This window comes from Homo sapiens, chromosome 9 (genome assembly GCF_000001405.40).
Source record: "Homo sapiens chromosome 9, GRCh38.p14 Primary Assembly".
NCBI lineage: Eukaryota > Metazoa > Chordata > Mammalia > Primates > Hominidae > Homo > Homo sapiens.
Window position 1 is genome coordinate 23819667 of NC_000009.12, and position 25175 is coordinate 23844841.

The 25175-nt window shown below is 39.8% G+C and overlaps 1 protein-coding gene and 1 long non-coding RNA gene across 47 annotated transcripts in view, besides 3 other annotated features; one reads left to right on the top strand and one right to left on the bottom strand.

Annotated features, from left to right (window-relative positions):
* ELAVL2 (ELAV like RNA binding protein 2) overlaps window positions 1–25175 on the bottom strand; it is a 160498-nt gene that overhangs the window by 129563 nt on the left and 5760 nt on the right. For 10 of the 44 annotated variants that reach the window (NM_001351472.2, NM_001351468.2, NM_001351477.2 and 7 more), the window contains exon 1: window positions 6140–6574. The exons of 9 other annotated variants lie outside the window; for them this stretch is intronic. The gene's annotated coding sequence lies outside the window, so the exon portion shown is untranslated. Of the gene's footprint in view, window positions 1–1268; window positions 1491–1560; window positions 1644–1938; window positions 2155–2696; window positions 2890–3099; window positions 3467–6139; window positions 6575–25175 lie in introns of those variants that run through there. 25 more of the 44 variants (NM_001385693.1, NM_001171195.2, NM_001351475.2 and 22 more) reach the window with 5 other exon arrangements.
* Window positions 522–1408: an enhancer, noted in NCBI's record as "H3K4me1 hESC enhancer chr9:23820186-23821072 (GRCh37/hg19 assembly coordinates)". NCBI's record gives its function as "activates a minimal SCP1, AML or CMV promoter by ChIP-STARR-seq in primed H9 embryonic stem cells {active_cell/tissue: H9 hESC(primed)}" and the evidence as "EXISTENCE:reporter gene assay evidence [ECO:0000049][PMID:30033119]".
* Window positions 1409–2294: an enhancer, noted in NCBI's record as "H3K4me1 hESC enhancer chr9:23821073-23821958 (GRCh37/hg19 assembly coordinates)". NCBI's record gives its function as "activates a minimal SCP1, AML or CMV promoter by ChIP-STARR-seq in naive H9 embryonic stem cells {active_cell/tissue: H9 hESC(naive)}" and the evidence as "EXISTENCE:reporter gene assay evidence [ECO:0000049][PMID:30033119]".
* LOC105375992 (uncharacterized) lies at window positions 6762–10456 on the top strand. 3 transcript variants are annotated; one of them, XR_929519.3, is made up of 3 exons: window positions 6762–6851; window positions 8360–8474; window positions 10007–10456. It is a non-coding gene; the product is annotated as an uncharacterized LOC105375992 (long non-coding RNA). The 3 variants fall into 3 exon arrangements; XR_929518.3 differs by having other exon boundaries at window positions 10004–10124; XR_007061895.1 differs by having other exon boundaries at window positions 8360–10456.
* Window positions 11662–12164: an enhancer, noted in NCBI's record as "NANOG hESC enhancer chr9:23831326-23831828 (GRCh37/hg19 assembly coordinates)". NCBI's record gives its function as "activates a minimal SCP1, AML or CMV promoter by ChIP-STARR-seq in naive and primed H9 embryonic stem cells {active_cell/tissue: H9 hESC(naive and primed)}" and the evidence as "EXISTENCE:reporter gene assay evidence [ECO:0000049][PMID:30033119]".

Here is a 25175-nt window from a genome sequence, read left to right on the forward strand (position 1 = left end):
GAAAGGTGGCAGCACAAAGTTACCCAAATAACAGGCAACAAGGGGCTGGTTTTAACCACACAAAAATAAAAATACTCTCTCAAAAAGGAAAATTACAAAGGAGGAATCACAGAAAATTTAATGTAACATGTTTCTTCATATTCTAATTTTTCCTACCCCATTCTGGCCTTTATCTTCCAGATGTTTTCTTCCTCTTCTTTCTCTCCCCATAGTTTGCAAGCGAACTTCCCGTAAGTATATCCTCCCCACAACCTTAAGTGTTGTTACCTTAGCATCCCTACAAACCTCCTATAAAGAAGGCCCCTACCACAAATGCAGTAACATTCGGGTCCACTCAGCAATACAGTCACCATTTATATATACCCAAAGGTTACTAAGACAAGGTAGATGCAGGACAGCTTTTCCACCCGCTCACCAAAATGGAAACTCCAGGTCAGCTTCCACAAGAAATGGGAAATTCAAGCGACTCTGGCGAAACGATTCTTGAGAAAACTCTTCAAGGGCAACAAAACAATATTTCAAACAAACAGATTTTACTTGAGGGAATGGGGACATTACACAGCAATTGATATTCGAATGGTTTTAAATGGACTGATTCGCCGTAAGTTTTGAGGCTGAGCTAAATTTTTATGAAGAATTATTAGGAATAGGGCCACTAGAAAATTAAGTTTTAAAAGCGCTTTTGTCCTTGCCGAAGGTATTACATTTTGGCACTTCTAAGAACCGTTCTTTGAGGGAGGGAATAAAGGAGAGTGGACAACTCGTAGCAAATCCTTTTCCCATGTTTTCAGAAAATGTAGAGACGATAGGACTTGAAAATCTTTGTCATAAAGATGGTCTTTAAAAATGCACACAATTCTAAATGACCATCTGGGCAGCTACAACTGCATGCTCATAGCTCGCATCTAGAGGCATGGTTTTACGCTCTGGCCCTGAAGGATAACAAGGAGGCTTTTAAGGAAATGCCGTGAGAAAGACTGCTGGCTAAGCATTGTCACGGCCACTGGAGGAGCACCTGCCAGTGAACCGACGCTGGCTCCCCCAGTCTCACCAGTGCACGCACACTAGTCCGTGCACCCCGGCCGCCGCTGGCAGGCCCTACCAGCCAAGCTGGAGGAGCAGCTGCCGCAACCACGGCAAGCGAACTGAAATCCCAGAGCCGGCCTCGCCCGGCAGAGCGCCCGCGCTTCCCGCGCAGCGCACGCCTCGCGCGCAAACCCGAGATGTGACCGCGAGCTGCGACCTCGCGCGGCTGCGACGGGCCTCACCTAACGCGCACGAGGGGATCATCATTGCTCCTGCCCTGGGCGCCCGCGGCCCTACACCACCTCCGCACACAACGCGGCCGGTGTTAAGTCTCCAAACGCCCCGAGAGCTCCAAGGACCGCGCGCGCGAAGGCGCCGTAGCAAGTGGGCACACACCAGACACCACCCCGGCGTGTTCCGCGGGAGAAGCCAGTGCACACATCCTCCCGCAAGGCGGGGTTGCCAGTGCAACACAGGAATCCTGCCCTTTTTCTAGAAAAGCCCCCTCCCCCACTTTCCCTCCAATACACTCACCTGCGTCTCAACAGTTTCCTTCTTGCGCTACACGCGGCCGCACCCGGGCACGTCCACGCCCGTGCACGCTGCCAGGCGCGACTGTCCCCGCTCGGCTCCCGCCGCCCCCAACCTGCTTGTGCCCACGGGAGGGGCGGTGCCACCTCCCGAGGCGCCCAATTCTCTCTACTCCCGCCGCAACGGGCTGAGCTCTAGGAACTTCGCGGGCACAACCTCCGCCGCCCCCACCAGTGTTCCCGCCCAGAGTTCGGACTAGGGCGCACCACCCCTACCCTGCTAGACGCAGCGGGGGCGCGCACAGACCTTAGCCTCGGCGTCCAAAATGGACCAGGGGCAAGGCGCGGACGCCGTCCCCGCCCCCACGCCCCCAGCACTTGCCTGCTGTGACTCGAAGCTGCAGCTACTACGGCTCGTGCCGCTGGCCGTCAGCACTGCCGCGGAGGAGTCGCTCGGGGCGAGCTCCGCGGAGAGGCGGTGGCGGCGGCGGCGGCGGGAAAGGGGACTGGAAGCCGGCGGAACCCCCGCCCCACCCGCGCCGCGCCGCGCCGCGCCGGCAACCGCCCTCCTCACCCGGCCGGCTACTGCCTCAGTGACGCCCAGGCGCCGCGGTCCCGCCGTTTGTAGCGGGGCGGGAAGGAGGGGCTTGCTTGGAAGAGCGCCAGGAGGCGGGGCCGGCGGCGAGTTCGCGGCGCCGCGGCCGCCGCCGGCGCGTGCCCTGCCCGACCGCCCTTCGGGTCCGTGCCGGCAGGGAGATGCCGGGCTTCAGCAGCTCAGCTCCGTCCCTCCGGACTTCCGAGTCTCACCAGGCTTCCCCGACAAGGTTTCTCTGGACTCGGTGGAGAGCGTTGAGCGCCCAGAGGAGGCTGATTCCAGGTGCAAGTTTGCAAATCCCGAGGCCCGGGGCGCTAACGGGGAGTCAGAGCAGCTAACGTGGGGGTTACTTTATGTGTTCATAAATGTATTTATAAATATATATAAGTATACACACATATGTGTGTCTCTTTTAAAAATTCTCTTTTTCCCCCTACTTCGCAGCCAAGGGGTCCTGTCCCTGGACAGAAAATAAAGGCTTAGCCCCCTGCTGCCCCTCCCTGCCTCTCTAGAGAGAACCTGACGTTTAAATAAGCCCAGAGTACCTGTGCGGGGTGCTGTACTCTGCTTCAAACGCAAAGTAGGAAATCCTGCACTCGACTATGCAAACGCTTGCCGCTAGCCGCATCCTTCTATCGCCCCCCAACTCAAGACCCGAAATGGCCAACTCTTCACCGAGGGGGCGTCCCATCGCTGCCTTGCCTTGGCCCGCCCCTTCGCCAAGCTCAATCCCTTTTCCCCAGAAAAACCTGTGCCTGTCCTCAGACCCGGCCCCACGGCTGGAAGTCAAAACCCACCCCGGAGCCACGCGGCTGGAGCACGTTTTTACACCTGCTCGGCCGCTTAATTACGAGAGCACCTGTAGTTGGGATTTTTTTCATTGCAAAGGCATCGATTTTAGCCCTTCTCCTAAAATACTACATTTAAAAAATCACCTGTCATACCTACCTGAAATTGTAGGAGGTAAGAGAAAGGAACCGAGCAGTGGGCGACCCAGTCGCCGCAAGAACGTGACCGAGGTTACAGCTTCAAGGGCATGATGCAGGTTTGATGCAGCAAGGTCCGCTAAGGGCGTCCAGCGCTCCCCGCCCCCATGCGACGGGCGGAGCGGGGTTGGGGGGAAGGGAGGGGACTCGTCTAACCCAGGGCGGGTGTGGGAGAGGCAAATTTGCCCTCTTGGGCGAAGTCTAATCAGCATAGTGAAGTAGGGGGCTCAACCAAGGTCAAAAGCGAGATAGGCCATCCCTTAATTTGTGCGACCCAGTCTGGGGACACCGGATACAGCTAACTGATTCTATATCAGCATTTCCGTGTCACCCCAAATCCGATTTGCAATTAAATGACCTTAATTGACTTTGTGTGGGTTCCTGGGAAAACTGCTCAAAGCGCCTGCGCCTCTTTGACCTCTCAGTAAATAGTTAATTATAATATTCTCATCCCAGGCACGCGGGATTGCTAAAAATGCCTATTTCCAAAACGTTAGGCGAAAATGGGCCTACTTAATTTGTCAATCCAAACCTAAAACTCTTAGAATGCCCTACGCCCTACTTCCTGACGCTGACTAAATTATGGGAGAGCTCTCAGAAGAGTTCCCCAAGTCTTCCAAACCACTTCTTCCTACAACCGTAGCGTTTTTTGTGAAGAGCTCCAGAACAGGTTAGCTTTATGAAGCGGGGTGCCCAAGCACTTGGTTAAAAGAGGGAACGGGGAAGAAGTGCCTGCTGTAAGACACATTCAGGCAATGACAGCAATAAGTAAGGGCGAGAGTTAAAAAATAAAATGTTAACCCCATAACAACTTCGAAACTCTCAACATATTTTTTTGCGGGCTTATCTGTTCATAGTCTGACAAATCTTTCAGATGTCCCATTTAAGAAGCCATTTTACAAGGAAGTCTTAAGGCCCAAACACATTTCCTACCCTTCTGTTCCCCAAAACACGAACACCCTTTTTCTGACCTTTAGAAACTGATTTTCAATTTGGAAAATAATTTCTTTAGTTACTATTGTCTGCTGTGTACTTTCTAAAAATTTTCATTGTAAGTCTACGTTTTATAGGTTGCAGTTAATAGTGTAGGCCTGGGAAATAAAACATTAATCTCCCTCCCACCCCCAGAGGATGGGTATAATAAATAGGGGTGCGGAGAACGGCTGAAGGTTTAGAATCTTAACCAACTGGAGTGTTTGTACATGAGAGGGGGAAGGGACAGAATCCGTGCATTTCGGGGAGAAAGTACAGAGACCTCCATCCCTGTCCAGCAGTGTTAACAGTAAATACTAAATGGTTGGCTATTTCTCTCACCCTCGCCATAATAAAACCAGACCTGCAGCCGGTAATTACGAGAAAATACCCAGTCTCGCCATCAGTTTTGCTAACCGGTACTTGAAAATGGGAAACGGGGAACTTATCCAACCTCCAATTTGTCACAGTTGTATAGCTTTCGTATTAATTCTGTACAGACGTGAAATAGGTGGGTACGTAGCAACGTGCTGGGCATAAATTAAGCAACAATGGCCACGCGAGGTCTCGTCCGCCGCGGAGCTCCAGTGGTGGGCACTGCCACCTTGCCATCCCTAGCCCCCACCGCCCTTCGCAGAGTCCAGTCCGGGAGGCTGACGGTGCGCTGGCTTTCCCAGCCGGTAGAGTGGGTGGGGTGAGGAGCAACGAGACGTTAACCCCAGCCGGCTTTGTAGCTTTTTCCCATCCTCTGCCTCTCGAGCACCACATGAGCGCTCTCACGCACACACTCACCCACACCCCCTCGTGCCAATAATTTAAACTTCTCTTAGGAAAGCCAGCAGCTTGTTCCACCACCACCACCCCTTCCGCCCTCCCCGGCCCACGAACATCCTCCCCCTTTCCCACATCTACCCTGGATCCTCTCTTTGGCAGTAGAAAGCCAAATGATTTCTCCTAAACCCTGAGAAATCACAAAAGTTAAAATGAAGCGTGTGCCTATCTGCCCAGCTTGTCATCCCCAACCATCTTTCTCCTGGCGTCAATTTAACAATAGCTATTCGAGGAAGTGGGGGCGGTAAGGAGGGGGTGAGGGCTACGTGGCCGAGTTGGCTCCTGGGGTGGCTGCGAAGCCTCGCGGCTGCAGAGGGGTTCCCCCTCTCCCCGAAGGCGAAGTCAGCCGCGTAGGACCAAGGACAGGGCTTGGAATCCACTTCCCAGCGCCCAGCACAGCGAGGCTCCCAAGCAGCCGGCACTTCATAGACACAGCTCCAAGGATCTTATTTACGCTTTTCTGAACAAAGGGAATCTCATATCCGGTACAGGCTTAAGAATTCAGCCCCAAATTGGCTATCTTCTTTTAAAACTGAATTATGATAATTGGAGTCCGTGAATCAGAGCCCGCATACAATGATGAGTTCTGACAGCTTCTAACAACCCTAGCCTCAGCCCAGCCCCAGCCCCAGCCCTCAGGCGGCATGTACTTTTTTCAGTCAACTACAACTCGCTGCCTGGTGCAGCATCTAAATTCCATCTGGCAATCCCATCTCCCCAGCACATGCTATCTGGTTAATGCAATTAAGCCTGTGGTTTTCGCTGGTCTAATCTGCCAGTCCAGGCTTCTGATTCCCCTTAATGATTGTAAAGCCTCTCCCGTCCTTCCGTTGCTGAGCCAAAGTAGAGGCATGCATCCCCAACACCCAAGTTATCACTCTCTCCCCACGAAATGAACTTCCGATCTCAATCTTGAAGCTCACTCCACATCTAACCTCCCATTGTACCCCTACTCCCCCCTGGCCACATTTACCACTTAAGTTTCTGCCATGGACATTTACGAATATTCAGTACGCTAAGCATGCGTCCACCGTCTTTTAGTCTAGCTCTTTAAAATTAAAAAAGCAGAACAGTAGCTTTGAAATGAGACAAACATGTGCAATTAACTTCATATTCTGTATTCCGCTCACTTACAGGTTTTCTGGGTTTGCCAGCGCATCGCTGCAACTAATGATTAAAGAAACCAAACCGAAACTTACCTTTCTCCCTTAAGGTTTTTGTGTATGTGTGTTTTTAAAGTAACGGTGCAGTTCTCCCAATAAGGATGAGCAAGAAGCTGCTGGATAGTTCTCTTAAGACAGCACGAAACCTAAACTGTGCTCGGCTTAAAAGAAGCAAATAAAAAGAAACGCTTTCGACCCCAAAGTCCAATGCTAAAAGAAATGGCGAAAAAAAATATGAAAGGGGAGGGGAAACTTAAAAAAGAGTTTAAAAAGACGGAGAGACTACCCTCCTATTGCCGTTCAACTAAACAAAAAGGGGCAAGAAAAACAAACCAAGGAACAAAGAAAAGAGACGAAAGAACGTTTTTTCAAAAAGACGATGTCTTTCTCCTTGTTGCTTTTTAGTAGGTCGCTACAGGAGTAAGCTGCTGCATCTCTAACTAAGAACAGAAATAGGGGGGAGGACGTCTTAAAAGGGAGGTGGACTGGACCACAGATTTATAGCACCGTATCACCAACCCCTTCTCTGCCTCCGCACTGCCGTGTGTGCAGCTGCTCTGCCAGGCTCCTATCCCGGGCAGCACGCGCGGAAGTATACGCCGAATCGCGCCACAACGTAACTTGCTCATCGCCCCAGGATCCTGATTGGTCCACACGCTTCCATTGAGGCCGCCCAGGCGGGGCCGCGTGAGACGATTGGCTATGGGCTTGTGTCACTCTCGAGAGCTCAATGGAGTCCCGTTTCAAGGTAAGTTGTGCGGGGAGGTACACTCTTAACACTGGCGGCGAAGGGAAATGCAAGAAGCAAAAAGAAATGTGGAGAGAGCAACGTGGGAGGGTTGGAACTGTACTATCAGAGTTTGCGATATGGCACGATCTCCTTTCCTCTTAAATCTTTCTGCTTCAGAAAGATTCATTTCCTTTGCCATCACTGCTGCATCTGTGGCATATTTCTTTATAACATTTAACTCTGTCCGGTATGTATGAGTCATTGAGAGCTCCCTCTCTTTGATCTGAGTGAAAGGGATGAATGTACATCCATTATTTGCCCGCATGCCTTTTTTCGATTTGTGTTCAGTACTGTATTTTGTATTAGATGTTAGGTAATTGTATGTCTTTATTTTAATATACGCATATTTCAGATTTATGTGTCCCCATGAACCCCTTTTTAAAGCATCCTTTTAAGATAAAGATGAAGTCAGAAATGCTCTCAAATAAAGCTGCACGGTTTGAATTGGCTTTCACTTCATGTTAGAATAGAAAAGTGTAGGATAAATATCCTATCCAGAAAAAGAGGTATTGAGTAGAGCTAAGGTCCTTCACTTCGAGGTGTCTAATGATTCTCAAAAAGAGCAGCTGTATATAAAACTGGAACAAGCCACTCCTCTGCATTTGCAGACAGGTACAGTCCTTGGACCACACATGTATTGCTGACAGCAAAGATAGTTGAACCTTTATCAGGGCTCTTTCTGTGAGGATTTAAGAAGTTTAACCAGAAGACCAAGTGCTATCAATGCTTCTGCTTCATAGAGGAAGACTACTTTATTACAACCCCATATTTTAACAGCATTCAGGAGACCAAAATACAGTTTTATGCATGATAATTGTTTCTTCCTCTAAGTGAAAGTGAGGTCCTCAGGATCGTCTGGATGTATAAGTAGACACAATATTCATTTGACCTACGTTCTTTTCCAGCCAGCATTTCTCTTTTCAATCTTGAAAGATAGCACCAACTTCCTAGACAGTTTTTACCATTCTTACCAGAATGTGTAAATGTAATGTACACATTACATTACACATGTAATGTGTCTTAACCAGAGGCACATGCCTTTTTGAAAGGGATTCCTTTACATATTTACAACTAGTCGCTATCTTTGAGAATGCCGGAAAAAGAAGACACAGGTAAGAGTTAGAGATTGCAAAAGGGTAGGGTGTCATGGAGGGGAATGGGACAGAAGATCCCAAAGCAAAATGACTTTGAAGTGAGGAATACAGTAAATCAGTGTTCTTTGAGAGTGTCCTTGAGTGTTGATAAATGATTAATGGTGAAAAACAGACCTGTTTATCTCCCGTGTAGCCTGTATAACAATATACGAGTTCTGTTACTTTGCATGACAATACCTGGGGCTTGAGAAAGAAGGCCTGAATCTATGTTATCTTATAATTAGTGTTTATAAAATCATGCCTTAACCTCCACCCCCAGTTTTTGTATAACAACCTCTGGAGTCTTAATTTCAACTTAAAACTATTCTCTAGACCTGGGTGAAACTCACAGCAAGAAGAAAGAAAAGCACTTTGAAGAAATGGAGTCAAGGGGGAAAAGGAAGACTCCACCCCATCTAGACTAGATGTATGAATAACAGAAGATTGGGTTTGTAGTCATCTTCCTTCAACCCCTCCCCTTGTCCCCAGCTCCATACAGAGAAATAACCTTTAAATGAATACAATTTGGGGAAAGTATAATACTGTTTGATTTCATCAGACTTACCTAGGCAGTGAATTGTCTTTCCTCCTTTTTACCATGCTCGTAGGTTAATATTGAATTAGTTGCATATGCCCATATAATTTCAGTACATTGAAGTAAATCTTTACCATTATAATTATATAAGTGCCTTCTAACTAGGTGGAAACTAATACTTTTTTTGGTGCATGTTTATATCCACAAAAAAAGACTTGTAGATAACTGTGATATCTGTAGATAACCCAAAATGATAGGGACAGGTGTGAAAAGCTGGGAGTGATATGGAGTAATAAAAATCTAGCATGTGTATTATGTAAAGAAATTACATGGAAAATAGTAAACTTGTTCATTCAAATGAAAAATGCTAAATTCTGTAGATTCAGTATTTATGGTTTTTTTTCAGCTTGGGCATAGTGACAAAATATTATTCAAAGTATTGTCATCCCTAACATGTTGTCTTTTTATGTAGGTGAGATGGACTTAAATTATTTAAAAAGTGAAAGTATCTTAAAATATTATTTTACTTCCTCATTAAAACAGATGTTTTTACATTTTAAAACTTTTAAATGGATAGATGTATTATAAGCAACATGTACTTTTTCAACTTTTAAAAATAAAAAATATTGATTACAGCCTCTTTAAAACAAGTGATATCTGGATGTAGATTTCACTTTGAAATTCATGTCTCATAGCTTGAAACATTAACAAATACATACTATCCTATGATTAATTAATGAAGCCTATGTGCAAACATCTCACTTAAGAATAAGCAAAAAATGCAATCAACCCCTTTTCACTCATAGTTTGGTAAAAGAATTATCCACAACATCTGAATTTGCATTAGAAAGTATTTAAAAGACATTTGAATATGATTAAGTTATATGAACTCTGACATATCTTCCAAGTTCCTGGCATTATTTTGAATTGCAGCAGAAAAGGGAGAGATGAAGGGAATGACTGCGAACTTGGAGCAAAAGTGTGAGGTGGATAAAGTTGCAAAAGAATAGTTCTCAAAACCGAAAAAGTCATGAATTTAATTATTTTACTGAAGTTTCTATATAAGAGAACATTTATTCATAAGAATATGCAAAGCTGTTGTGGAAAATGTCTTTTAGGATAAATAACTCCCTTACACTAGAGGTCCTGGGAGCAAGGGAAGGAGTGATTTTACATTTTGTAATAAAAGTTACTGTAAACTACTTGTAACGTTTTGTAAGTAAATAAAGAAGTTAAACTATTAAAATTAGTTTACAATGTTTGGCTTAAGGCAGTAATTTCCAACAGTAAACCTTCTTAGATGAATAAAAATGTTATGTGTTAGTATGGTGGAGTAGGGGGTTATGGTTCATACTATTGGAAATATGATAGTTTAATGTCTGCATGAGAAATACAGATATCATATATCTTGCTGATTACTCTTTTATTTATTCTTCCTAAAGTAGTATGTGGACTTGCCTTTCACCGAAAGGGGGGAAAAGTTGTGAAAATTGACACCAGTGTGAATTTATACCGTGGCAACCACGCAAGAGAAAGAGGCAGGAATTAGCACCATGGACAGAGACGAGCAGCCCTCAAATTAAGATTTGCAAAGCTTGAGACGGTGTTTTCTGTCCCTTTCTGTGAGACACGGAAACTGCGTGTCTTGGGAATGTTTTATTCCACGGGACTTTGCGGAAAAGACTGTCCTACTCCACAGAAACTCATTTATTTTGAATTAGGCTGGCATTTCTTAGGACTCAGCCATCATGACAAACTGTCAGGAGACTTAGAGCCCCGAACTCGCTGTGCACCTTCCACTGTCCTGTTTTACATACACTCCCTTGCCGGCGTGAGCTCGCCTTTCTTCAGAGTGTTCATGAAAAATAAATGCAAATCCAGGTAGTCTTCGAAAAGTCTGGTAAACCTGCTCCAGAGTTTTTAATCCTCGAATATCCCAGCTGGAATTGCAGCAAAAATGCCTGCCTGCTCACCCTTGCTCCCTCCCCCCGTTCTTCTCCCTGCTCCCTCCACCCCCTAGCAAAGGGGTAAAGCCTTTTACTGGAAGGTGAGTGACTCCCAAGACTATTTTGCGAAAGATTCTTTACATTGCAAACACTTTCGTTAGGGACAGTGCCAGGGGCGGCAGTGAGCGGGATCTCAAACATCCTTTACTTTCTCTTTACATTGTGTCTGTAAACTCCTGTTCAAGGGGGAAAGACTGTAAAGTAAGAGAGCACACTCAAGGAATATTCCCCCCGAATCCTGAGGTTGCTGTTTACACTTAAAGACACATGAATTGTTCATTTAAATGTTCTTTTAAAAAATGTAACTAGTGTCGCGGTAAATCTTTGAGACCAGCCTAGGTTGGTTCTCCCTTCCCAGCCCCCCACTTACACACACACACACACACACACACCTTTTTTTTTTTTTTCCTGGACCAATGTATGAGGTTCATTCTCCTTTAGATGATTTGCCTGCAGATATTCAGACTAAGATCTGTTGCACATGTCCCAGAGTGTCTAGGAAAATATATTTGCAGCCTCAGATCGACGATTATTTTATGTAGACGCTCCCACAAATGTCCCCAGATTTCCTTCCCCTCTTTTACTCAATAGCAACTTTTAGGAGGATAAACTCACGTTTTTCCTGAGCATAAAAAGGGAAAATCTAGGCGACTAGGCGAGGGTGAAGGAAAAAAAACCCCAAAAAACCCGGAGGTGAAAAAGGGCAAATCAGAGACTTATGTCCGTTTCTTTCAGGGATACTAACAGCCTTCTTTAAGCTTCCCCCTGGAGCCGATACATCTCATGCAAAATTAATACAAGCAATTAAAAATAACAGTTTCCAAAGTTAAAGGAAACCATCTGTCTCAGCTGATAGTAATCAGTCTTTTCTCTGGCCCCTTTACCGGGACCTGGGAAGAAACGGTTTTTATGCTTCCGATGCTCGGAGGCTCTTTCTTATATTGAAGATTTATGTTTCCACTTGTGTGCGATGCACGTCTAATTTGAAATAATAAAACCGGGCTGAGCAACCAGTCAATCAGAGCCATCCAGGGCGCTCCGCACGCCGCCCTGCCCCCCACCTCCCTCCGGTCTCTAACTCTTTCCCTCCTCCTCCCCCTCTCACTCTCCTGGCCCTCCCCGTCTTCCTTCCTCCCTCCTCGGCTCTCACACGCGCTCACACTTTTACCCCCACGTGTGTTCAGATCAAACCCTTGTCCCACAGAGCAAGTGCCGGCACCGGGCCACGGTGACAAAGGCGGAGTTTGTATCAGAAGAAGACTGAGGCCCGGGGAGACACAGCGGCTAGAGAAACAGCTGTCTTATCAGCCCGCTGCAGAGATGGAGATGGCTTGAGAGGTCCTCAACAGATAATCACTTGAATAGGTTTGCAATGCGCCAAACTTCACGCTTGATAAGGCCAACCCAATGTAGAGAGAAGCCCAGATCCTGCTCCATTCTATCTGGGCTGTAAATTAAGAAATTGAAATTCAGGTGGCAGAGGCAGCAGTCTGCTGATAGACCGCTGAAGTAAACTGCATTAAAATGCTTTCGGCAGGCAGAGGGGGCGCCTGGAATGGAATATTGTTTAAAAAAAAAAAATGTAGTGGGAGGGGGCAGTGAGAGAGAAGAAAAAGCCCACGGGGCTTAAAAATTATTTGGGGAAGGGAAGCTGTGAGGAGAAGTGGAAAAGGGACACAGCATCTGGCCATGATTCCTAATCATAGCTACTATGAATAAACAATTTGAAAAGTACAGTATGGAGTTGTGTAAAGTTTGGTGTGATAAGAGATCAAGGAACAATTTAAACCAATCTGGTATAAAAGGGAATTCCGTCTTTATCTGAGCAGGGGTGAGAGGAAGTGGATATCAAATGGACTGTAAAGTTTTCCTTTCATTGTAAGAAAAGCAGATCAACCGGATACAGAGGAGTTACCATAAATTGAAGTTAACCTGGCCTTTTGGCTGAAGTGATAGGGCCACGGGAGAGATTCCAGAATGATTTTTAGAATAGCCTAAGAAGTTGTCATCCACAGGAAAGAATCTACATAGCTACTTACAGGAATAACAGTTATTTTTCAACTCCCTCCTCCCTTTACCCAGGTAATTACTATAGGATAATACAGGAAACAAAAAAAAATCCCAGGTATGTACTCTAACACATACCTGATTCTTACCGCACACTTTATATCTACATTTTTCTGTCTGCTCTTTTGGATATGAGGTTTGAAATTTTATGCATTATTTAAATAGATTTTTTTCACAAATATTTAATATATGTAATGACCAGCATATAGCCAGTGACACTGTCATCTTGATTCACTAATGTCTTAGTGTTGTACCTTGTTCTTTGTGTCTTAAGTGAATTGCAAGTTCGTTGGTGTCCATTTATGAGGTGGATAGCAAGTATGAGAAGATACATGGCATTTTCCACAAGGGCATTTACATTTTAAGTCTTAGAAACATTTATAAAAAGTTACCTTCAGCCGACAACACATAGTTAATACAGCTTTAGAAAATGAATCAATTTTTATTTTGTTTAACTTCAAAAATGTGATCGATCTCAGAATGCATTTAACTGACAATATAAAGGCTTATATCACTTTAGGATAAGCAAAAATAAAAAATGAACTTGTTGGAAAAAGTGAGAAAAATTTTAACATGCTATCATAAATTTTAGCAACTATTAAACTACTTGAATTAAAAACAATTATAAACTTGGAAATTGTTATTTGATTATTCATAGGTTAGTAAGCAAATAAATATAGGTCATGAAATCTCAAAGACATTTCTGTTGAATTGTTACATGCAAAAATCCTTCATATCTAACAAAAAAAGAGGTGTTTGCGTTTTTTTTATTCTTTTAAATTTAAGTGTATGGATGAATTAGTGCTTTGTGTATCCTTTAATGAGAGAGAAATTTATGGTTATGTAAGCTAACTTTTCCTTTCCATACCATTATTTTCCATAAAGTTATATTGGTTTAAATAATGGCTACTATATATGTATATTAAGAAATATTATTTTAATGAATTCCAGCATTTTAGGCAGTATTATATTATCTCCAATAATCCCATAACAAGATATTTTTCTGCTTGTTAGAAAACAAGTTTGAATTACCAGCTTTAATAAGCCCCTTAAGCTATGATTTTTATTTTTTTCTTAATCAAATTGAAAATATGCACACAATGGACAGCTTAAACTGTTCTTTAATACAGATAAGACTTTTTTAAGATGTTAATTTGCATACAGATGAAAAGATACACTGTCACCAAGTTTGAAATGTGAAAAAAGATATTTTATAAATTTAAATTATAGCATTTCAAAACTAAGATAATTTTAAGAAGTGACATTTTCATTATGAACATAAAATCTTTTAGCATGAAATTAGTATAAAAATAATCTTGTTTTTTTATAAATTTTTGTCACAAAATGAATGCTACATATGGTTTCTAAAGGCATAGCAATTCATTATAAATGATGAAAAATAAAAAATAACCAAAAATGTGAAGTTAGTTTTTTAAATGATTTTCAATTATTAATCCCCCTCTGTGAGAAATGGCATATTATATTTTTAAAGCAAACAATCTTCCTATGATGTATTAAGGCAAAAATGTTGGAAGCTTTTGAAATATCCAAAAGTCTTCATGTTTTTGTTTAATGACTGATTATAATTCTATTACCAAAAATATCACACATAACTAATTATGTCCTTCCAGATATAACATTTATCATCAGGTAAGAGTGAAATGAGCAATACATAATCACTTCCTATTTCTAAATATTTTTCCTAATCTTTGACAAAAGGCCCATTTCAATTTGGTTCAGCATCCTTTGAGTGCCTAGCATGTGCCAGAATAACAAAATTAGATTAGAGACAATAAATGCTTGAAGGAAATCAGATTATATTTTACGAAATGATAGTAAATGGAAAACTTGAGGGGTTTAAATAACTCAGTTAATATGTTGCATAATACATATTCACAATGTGTCTGGTTTATGTTGTTGTTATTGTTTATCCTTATAAATTTTTGTACAATATCACTTTTTAAAATAATATAACTTGTCAAAAAATTACTCCTTTATATAGGAACATCATAGAAGGGATATTATCCTTCTAGGAGCTACAGTTTTGCAAATTGTTAATGGCTTGGGTTTTGACTTCAGACACATGGATTTGAACCTGATTTCACGGGTCCTTGGACAAGTTACTTTATTGCTTCTAAACCTTGATTTTCTAATCTATAAAATTGTGATAATAATGCCTAATTTAGAATCACTGTGAGGTTAGATGTAATCATAAGTATAAAATACTCAAAACTTCCTGACATGGAGGAAGCAGTCAATAGATGGTAACTACAATTATGAGAACAAAAATGGTAACCTATCACATTTATTTGATGGAGCCAGAATTAGAATTCCTGCCTTTGCATACTGTCTCTTAAATATTTTCATTAGCTCTCATTAATGTCCCAACTGACATATTTCATGATAAATATTCTCTCACATTTCTAATTGCAACCAAGTTTAAAAGGCGCCAAAAGGCATAAAATCATCTATCTGCCCTGTTATGTGACTTCAATATATTTCCCAATACAATTTCATGATTCACCCATAAAAAGTTGTGGGTCTTCAAAATGGAACTGAGTCTGAGATCCCATTTGACTGATATAATAATAAAAACACCTTAGATTTTTATAGTACCTTTTATCACAAAAAGCTCAATGTACTTTTACATATTTATCATTGTAACCCCAGGAGGTATAGAAGGACATAAAGTATTTCTCATTTTCAGGGGGCATAACAGAGGCATTAGGAATTTAGGTAACATTTCTAAGGTTCATAGAGATAGTTTTCCCGGATGTCAGTCTTTCTGCAATCTGTTACTCTCTCTGGCATTAATTATGGCTATTGTTACTTTAGTTAGGCTCAAACATTAGTGTTTGGCATTAAGTATAGCTTATAATTCAGTTAATCACTTGATGAAATCAATGAGTCAAATATATACCATCACAGTCTAATCAAATGAAAATATTTTGATTTTATGTTGAGACACTTTTATTATTCAATTTTATATATGCATACATTATTCTTATTTATCATTCTGTGTTAATTTCTAAGGGAAGATTTTAAAGGTTATTACTCATTTATGGCCTTGAAAGGAACCAGTTCCAATCTACTTATCACTCACCTCTCCCTAGGCTCATTCTTCCATCTCCACTTATATTTTTATAGGCTATTATCTTTATTCCATTTACATAGGCTAACAGTATTTTCTGCTCTAGTTTTCTATTTAGATTGTGCTTGAAAAATCTATCAAAATAAATATCTAAAGGAATATAGAGGTAGACTATATAAAGGGCTTTTTATAATGTATTGTTTTGAATAAAACAAAATGTATAACTAATGTCTACTTGACATTATAAAACATAGAATATCAGAAGAACACTAAAACTTGCTTATGGTTTATAGTTTTGCAGTTCCCTCCTGGGCTTACATTGCTATGAATTCATATAGATGGAGCTATAGCTGTGGTCTTTCAGTGAGTAAGTGAAATGGAAGGAAACAACATTTTGCAGTCTGATAAAAGAATGAACCTTAAACTTTTAGAGATCTAAATTCATTGTAGGTAACAATAGAAAACAGACTTAATGTTTTTATTTCAAGCTTCAATAGGCGTCTGTCTGCATCTTAAATGTATCATATAATTTGATAAAATTGACCCACTCAAGGTCAAGCCCAGTCATCTGACTGCCAGACTTCTATGAGCAAGTGTAATTAGCACCAAGAAGAAACACATATGCATAAACACAGAACAGCCAGTGCTGCTGTTTATTGCCATTTCACACTAACCCCTCTTAACTCTTCATGTTGATGTGATTAAATACAAAATCCATTTCTCTGATGGAGCATTATGTATGTGTATTTTAAGGCTGAAGATACTGTCGTAATAGAAATAATATTTTATACCTTTGGTCATTGTCATTCTAGTATGAGAAATTAGAGAATATGGTTGCTTGAAATGTCAGTTTTTGTAAACATGAGTTGGAAGATGTCACATAAATGAATGGCATTACAGACTGTTTAAGCTGTATGAGTAACAAATAGACATTTCCTTGAATTATTTTCACACAATTTACTGTGAATTTTTTCCTGTAGATGATATTTCTAGGTTCCTTGTGCAAACAATAAAAAACTTTCTTTTATGTCAGTGCTTATTATTTAACTTATAGAGTACTGATGTATTCTAGAATACTAATATTTCTAGATATAAAATGAATGTGAAGATACATGTGTCTCCATATTAGTCATATCAAAAGGATACATGAAAGTTTGAGCCTCTTTGTAAGGTTTGTATAAAAGAGGAAAATATTCATATATATTACAGTGTTCAGTCCTCGCTTTTAAAAGATCTTTATATAAATCTCAATTGGGTGTGTGTGCATGCATGTGTGTGTGTGTGTTTGTGTGGGTGTGGTTTAGAGCAAATAAAAGGAGGTTGAGAGGTGAAAATTACAGGAATTTGTTGGAGTATACCAGCCTGTCTATAATAGAGGAAGTGGGCTACAAAGCATAGGAAATCAGGTTGGTTGGGTATTGTGGTACCACATTATGCTGGCTTTGAAAGCCAGTAGAGGGAAGTACAGATATACAACTATTAGAAACAGGATACACCTATTGACAACTGTGAATTTTAGAAAATGCCAGACAGAAAGATACCCAAAGGTAGAGGAATTAGAACCAACACATAAGCAGGGTTAAGAAGCTTTCGTCGAAAATTCAAGACTCCTTGCAATGAGGAGGCAGGGTCAGACTATAATATATATGAGGACAAGACTGACAGGTATAGAAGAAGAGTTCATGACACTGACAATAATGAAAGTGTTTTGATGGCCAAAATATTTCCATCAGCACTGGGAAAGAGATAGGGCTCTCAGCATATAATGTTTCTGAGCCAATGAGCCCACGGAAGCTGTGAGGGAGAGAAACCAGAGACAAGAGCCTGTCAGGCTGCTGCTCTGCGTAGCCCAGGACGCCTCTAAGATACCTTTGTGCCTAAGGGAGGGCTTTAAAAACACTGCTGGGAAAGTACGCACTGTGGCACTAAGCAAAGATCTCTAGATGTGGAGCAAGGAGGCATGAGTCCTAGTATTATTTATCCCGCTAACTAGCTGATTCTCTTCAGAAAGTCACTCTGACTAAACTTCATGATTCCCAGGAGAAGACTAGATTAGTAATAATAGTGTATGCTAGGTGGCATTCTAATCCTCTACATGCATTAAATCAGTTAACTCTCACAAGAATCTCATCATTTTACAGATAAGGAAACTGAGGAAGTTAAGTAATTTGCCCAAGATAACACAGCTAGAAATTAAAAGAGCTGGGATTTCGCCCTAAATAGGCTGTTTCTAGAGCCCAAGTCCTTAGCCACTATTTATTGGAGTACCTTTAAGGTACTTCCAGATGTACAATTTTGTAATTTTAAAGAAATACAACAGAAATTACAGATGACATAACACTTGCAAGAGAACAAAAGCCTCTAGAAAACAGATATTACGATGAACATAAACAGATAAAGCTCTACTTTTCATTTCAGAAATAATCATACTCTTATACCTTGCCGTGCTCTCTACTGCTGACAAATAGAAGAGAGAGAAAATTTATAGTTGGATGATTTATTCCTTTAAAAAGATTCAGGTCAAATATAATAGGATTTTGAGAAATATTTTATATAAGATGTCCTTGGCTGTTCCAACCAGCGGGTAACATTGTTTTGCAGTTTAATTATTTAGCTTTTACATATTTTAAGCAGTCTCCTCCATAAACATATAGTAAACAGTTATAAAGCCATTAAAAATAGTGTTTATTATTTAATGAAATGTGAAGATATTTATGAAATATTATTAAGCATATTAAACATCACATAAAGGATGTTTACTAGAACATTAAACAATGGCTATTTTGAGGTAATGGGAGTTGGATTTATAGTTACTTTTTTTTTTACATTTTCTGCATTATTGGGTTTGTAAAAATTTTGAGCACGCATTCTTTTTCATAAGTCAGAAAAACAGGTAGTTTATTGTTTCAGAAAGAAAAAACTCTACAGCTCAAGCTTGAGGGCCTATAGCCACCAGGTGGGAACAGGTGCTAGATGCTGGATGGTAAGGACCAGTGACCTCTTAAAAGACAACTTAGATAAAGAGAGAGGTCAGAATAATACCCCTTGAGCTTTTCAGTTTATAAACAAAATAATATTCACTTCTAAAAAATTGAGATTTAATACACATGAAAAATAGATATGACAAAAATCTCAGAAATTGCTCTACCATTTTTTTAGACAACAATATCAGGTATAACTATCCTGTCCAATTAAAATTGCCTAATATTAATTATATACAATAACATAAAGTGTTTCCTTCCCTTACTGACTATCTGTATTATGGCCAAGGAATGTTCTTCTTTTCGATGAATTAATCATTTCTTTTTCCCTATTAAATCCTTTCTCAAATTGCTCAAGAATCTCATAAAATGAATCTTCATTCCCAGCCAGCAAAACCCTTAAAGTGATTTGCTTATATTTCTATGGCATATAAGTAAGTGAAAACCATAATACAGTAAATAATTATAATGAGATTGAACAAAAACTGGCTTCCGGACAGGTACCATTAGTGAATTGCTATTTCAGTGTCCTAAACAGTCACCTGAGTTAATTCAATTTTCATATTCTTTAATTTTTGTCTTTAAAATCACTATTCAGAGAATGGAAAACTGGCTCAATGTCTCAACTGTGACTGATGGCAGTCTCTGAACATTCTTACTTATTTTGTTTTGCTATTTAGAAATAGTCTAATACCATGACCAAGAATCTAACAAGAGCTATCTAACAAGTATTATTTATCTTATTAGATTTATGACATTGGTAGAACTGGAAAAGAAGGTACTAAGAAAAAATACCAAAATAACAGAAACTTATTTTTTAATATGATGTATTTTAATGTGTTCTGTTATCTTTTAAGTTTTATAAACCACAGACATATATTAATTTTCAGATATGAATGACGACTGTTTTGAAAAAAAAAAACTTATTTGTCATATATAGAGGACATAAAGTGCCGCTGCCCTCACTCATGCACTCATTTGACTCATGGCGCAGTCCTGAATAATTTTAAACCAAACATGACTGCGGCAATCAATTTTCGTCCAATTTATTGGGCATGAGTTAAAGCCAATTAAAAAACCATTTTTGGTGCAATTCAAGAGGAAAACTGTATAAACCCATGAAAAACAAATTTCAGTCCTAGACATGAGTCATCACTATTCTAAATATTGGTGTCAGTCCCAAATCAACAAGAACAAATCCTAAAATTGCACAGTCCACACTGGAAACTGCATTTATCAGCAATGATTTTACACAATTATTAATTTTTTATAAGAAACTGACCTGAAAGGAAAATCATGCTCTTCTGTCTCATATCTGAATCATTTTTGCAATGAAATTAATAGGTAGTTTATAGCAGCTCCTTGAGTTTCTGAATTAAAAACTGAGGTAGAAAGTCATCTGTGACCTTTATATAAAGAAAGCAAAACATTTTACCTATAATTTTAAAGTATCTTTTACCTATTAGACCATGTCTTCTTTCACATGAATATAGTGGCTCTCTTTTAAGGCCATAAAATGAAACAATCCCTGTATGCTCCAGATATTCTTAGGGTAATCAAAGCAGCAAAATTGAAGCTTCTAGGTTGGAAATTACAGCTATAAAATACAGCTATACATTTTCAATCTGTATATTAAAAAGGCCTTTCAAGTTCAGGGTTGTCTTGGTTAAAAGTATTCACGCAGACCTGAATTCTGGTTCTGCCTCTCCTGTGTCCTTGGTATATGACTTTGGGCAAGTTGCCCAACCTCTCTAAGCCTCAACTTTCTCATTCTTAAAATGGGCATTAAAAATAACCTACCTTTTAGGGCTGTTGTGAGCATTAAGTGACTAAAGTATTTGTCAAGTGCCTGGCACAGAGTCAATCTTCATTAGACGACAGAACTGGATAAAGGAAAGCCCAGTGATTCTCACACATGGCTGTGCAACACAATCTACCTGTGAGGTTTTTTTCTTTTCAAGTACAGATGCCTCCCCTTTACCTCAAGAGATTTCACTGTAATTCTGAGGTGTAATCTAAGCACATATGTGTATGAAAAGCTCCACAGGTGATTCTGATGAACAACTGATTTAGAGCAAAAATCAGTACAGGTTTTTCAGTGGTGCAGTTAACATGGAGTTAAACAGTGGCTTGAGCTATTTTGGTTCCGTTATCTCTGCTGAGCAGATTAATTGGACTAATTGCCAATTTTATACTTTGTGTTATACTGAAAAAGATTTAACTAGGATATCTTTAAAAGATTTTACTTACATTCATATTGCTATGAGGTCACAGAATAAGTGTGATTTTCTACAACTTCCCGTTAGTAAAATGAAACAACATGTGAGATAACCCCGGGAAATTGCAGTCATTCCACTGGCATAGATATATTTTAGTGTTTGTTATGTTTGTTACTTCTATTTAATAAACATAGGCAAATAAGCCAAAATTACTTAATCAGTTTTTTCAGAGTTATATTTTCCTTTTGAGTTAGTTCATTTCTAACTGTCCTACTTCAAGTATGCACTCTCCTCAATGACAGAGATCAGGTGGTGCCATGCTGTTAAGAAAAAAAACTATCAGAAAAATATACACGTTGGACTGACATGACCACCCCACAAGTTACTCACCATGATTGTCTAACAGAAACACGTGCATTTTCCCTGAGAGTCAATTTTAAATATTAACAGAAATCAGGACTCTCCTTAATATCTTCCCATTAGTGGAGATTAATTTATTAGATGAACAACCTGTTACCTTGAAAGGGAAAGAGATATGTCCTAGTAGATCTGGGGTATTAGCAATGTCAGTAGAGGTGGCAGCGTAAGCCTAGGGGAACAAAGGACAGCCAGGTCCTAAAAGTATCAAGAGAAGATGATGAGGAGGTGAGGAAACCAATCAAGATAGTTTCCACCATTTGTGCCTAGGGCAAGTCTGGGTGCAGCTGGTACATTCTCAGACTTACAGCTTTTATAGGCCTTCTTGGTAGGAAACCAGAGTGATTTATACCCTGGCATATCTCTATACAGGAATTCAGAGAAATTCCAATGCTGCTACACCACCAGACAGAGTTTTTACTTTAGAGTTTCTAGAGAAACTCTCTCTCTAGGTTTAAGAATTGTTATACCCTCTCTCTAGGTTTAAGAATGCAAACCGCATAGATTACCTAAGGGCTCATTGAGACAATACTTACTCTCTGAGGACTCCCTACCCTCGGGGTTTAGAAATGACTCTGCAATGTAAATATAATTCAACATCATGTATTGGCAAGCTGTTGGTAGATCAAGGAGATGTTGATCAAGATGTCAATGAGAGAGTTGGAATGCCCAGATTCTAGTTTTTAAACTTTTTGAGAATCACTATGTATCTATGTATAAAGTGAATGATAGTGTTTGCTTGTTTTACTTTGTAGGGTTATTGTAAAGCTAAAAGAAAAGTAAATCTATGAACACTGGAAAATTTTCTATTGGCATGAGAAACTAGAGGAAAATAATTTTTAATGTATTTAACTTTCTAGTAAATTATACAAATGCCTGTCAGGAACATATTTCCTTTTTTAAAATTAAGTAAACTTTTTCTTTTTCAATATGATTCTCGAAAGTTTCAAAATCAACTCATCAGATAACAACTCTATGTTAAAACTTCAAAAAGTGAAATTGCCTGACACTTGCTGAAATATCATGGAACATGAAAATGAAAATCTACAGAAAATGCAGAACCTTCCATTTCGTTTTTTGTTTATGAATATAATGTTTTATCTAAGTCTCACCTTAGACAATTGGTTTCCAAAACGTGGCTCTTTGAAATTTCAGAGAGGAGAGAGCCCCTTCAGAGTTTTTCGTTTAACCAGCAGAGAATTGCATTCTCACAGCTGGAAGCTGAACAGCTGTTGACTCTGACATTTTTCTGTTCCCCTGAGTGAGAGTTCAAGGACCCTCTCTGCCATCAGGAGGACAGCCAGTAAAGGGGTCAGAAACATGTTCCAGTGCAACTCAACTCCAAGGCCACCCTAGAGGACTGGAGAACAGATAACTCAGAGCCACTGTTGCCCAAATGGTAGAGATAGTCTCCCTGTTGCAGAAAACCAGCCTCCCTGAGAATCTACTTTCTGACTCATGGCCAGATCTCAAGGCTTAAGTGACCTGAAGCACCCTTGATACTGGCCAGTCTTAGGAATTTGGTGTCCTTTTAGAATTTATCAATATATATCTCTTTTTTTCATATATATAGGAAATTTCCTTTTCACTCAAAGTGCATTTCTGAGTGCTTCTTAGTGGATACTAAATAGCTAACTCCATTTTGATTTTATAGGAAGAAAAACAAACAAAAAGAATATTTCAGAATAGCTGTCACTGCAGCACTATTTATTGTATCCACTAGAGGACTCCTCTCAGAATAACTCAAAATCTCTCCCTTCTCATTCTCTATGGCCTCTGGCATTTGATGCTCAACTGACTCTTGAGTTGGGCCACTGGCTACATATCAGTGTTAGAATGAAAACATTCCCCCTACTTTAACACCTCCTGCTAGTTCAATAAAGCGATGTTTAAATAACTGAACTGGCTTCAATGAACTGTACTTGCCATTTTTTCCTGCTTCTTAGCTAGATAAAATGGAGATAATTAGGAAGTGGATGAGCAGGTTTAATGAAAGCCAGTTTCTTTTGGTATACTCCTGAAGCAGCAATCATCATCTGTTTGGCTTTTGAAGAGCAACAATTATAATCACTTAAACCCCCAAGGGGAACAAAAATAGAATTTACATTAGCATATAAAATATACAGCTGGATTGGGCAAGCCTACAAAATTCTGGGGAAATCATTCTAATCTGAATGCTATTCAAACTCACAAGTAAAATGAGTTCAAGAGTATTTTACATACTTCCTTCCTATAAAATAATACTTATAACAATGTTGAGAGGATTTTCCTAAAAATGAACACAGGGAAATAAAAAATTGTTGCCAGGAGAGAATCCCAGAGGGAATAAGCTAAACTGTATTGTCAAGATATCACAGAGCAAAATGCATAATGATATTCACACAAAGTACTAATCACTCTGAAGTGAAGACTTTTTACAGTAAAACTACACACATTTAGGAGTTTAAGAAACAAATTTTGTTCTGATCACTGGTACTACTTACTAATAAGGAAAATTTCAGATTAATAGTACTTCCCTTCTCCTCCATTGCAAATGTGAAAGTAATACAAAGGAAAGTGAAATTGCTTAAATTGATAATCTATTATTATAAAACAGAACTCTGTTTCCTATTTTAAAATATTTTCATATCATTTCCTCTCAAACAATCTCTTTCTTACACCCCCCTTTCTAATTGTAGCCCAGATCACAGGCAATCTCCCTCATCATTTACATTATTTAATTACTTCTGCTTTTGTGTGCCTTTCACAGTTTACAAGATACTTTTTTTTCTTTTTTGGTAGAGCACAGAAGAATGAAAATGGGGCCTTTGCTTTATCCATTATGCTACTAGCAACAAAACACTAACATAATCAATATATTAAAGGCTTTCCCGGCTGTGCACATTTGTCAAAGGCAGTGTATCTGAGAAATTACACTAATGAATCTTGAACAACTCAGCATCCTACACAGAAAACTTGTTCTCTCTCATCATAAGTACATATCAATATGTAAAGACAAGAAAAATATATACTTCATCTTTCTATATATTATTTGAAAAGCCACTGTTACATTTCTTTAAAATGGAAAAAAAGTCAGTAAGCAAAATTCCACCTCCACTGAGAAGCCTTCCTGAATACCACACTAAAGTCAACCACAGGCATATTAGCGATAGCTTCCTCTGTGCTCCTAAAAGTACTTTTTACATATCTCTGATACCAATTATCTCACTACGTTATAACCATCTGTTGACATCTCTATCTCTTACACAGAGTATGCATTACTTGACAGCACAGCCATTTTTTCCAGCCAAGTATTATCAGGTTCTAGCACGGTGCCTAACCCAGTAAGCATGTAATGATGTCTGTTGAGTGAAGTGTATCATTCACTGCATTCTAAGACATCAAAATGTTGTGGTATTCATGGTAGGAATCAAACATATATTAATATCATCTCTGCAACAATATCAGATTTAATGATAAATTAAGCACTAAGAAATTAGAAATTCAAAAGTCTAGATTTCTGTAGCAATCTTAGCTCTAATTATCTTTAACAAAGGATCGTGGTAGTATTTTAGATTTTGTTAAATATTTATAATGTTAATCAGCTCTTTAAACTACCTATCCCATAGTTAATTATTTTTACTGAAAACACCTAAAAAGCTGAGTTCTTAGTTCTTAATGGTAATGACCTCAGGTTTCATTAACTTTATAATCTCTATTTTTAAAAAATTAAAAGCATTAACATTGCCTTCTCAGCCTTTGTCAATGTCTGTCAAGCGAGGCGGTATGTAGCTTATATTACTCTGCCCTTTCTATAATGCTCTGAGAGGCTTTGAAAATCTACAACAGATAAC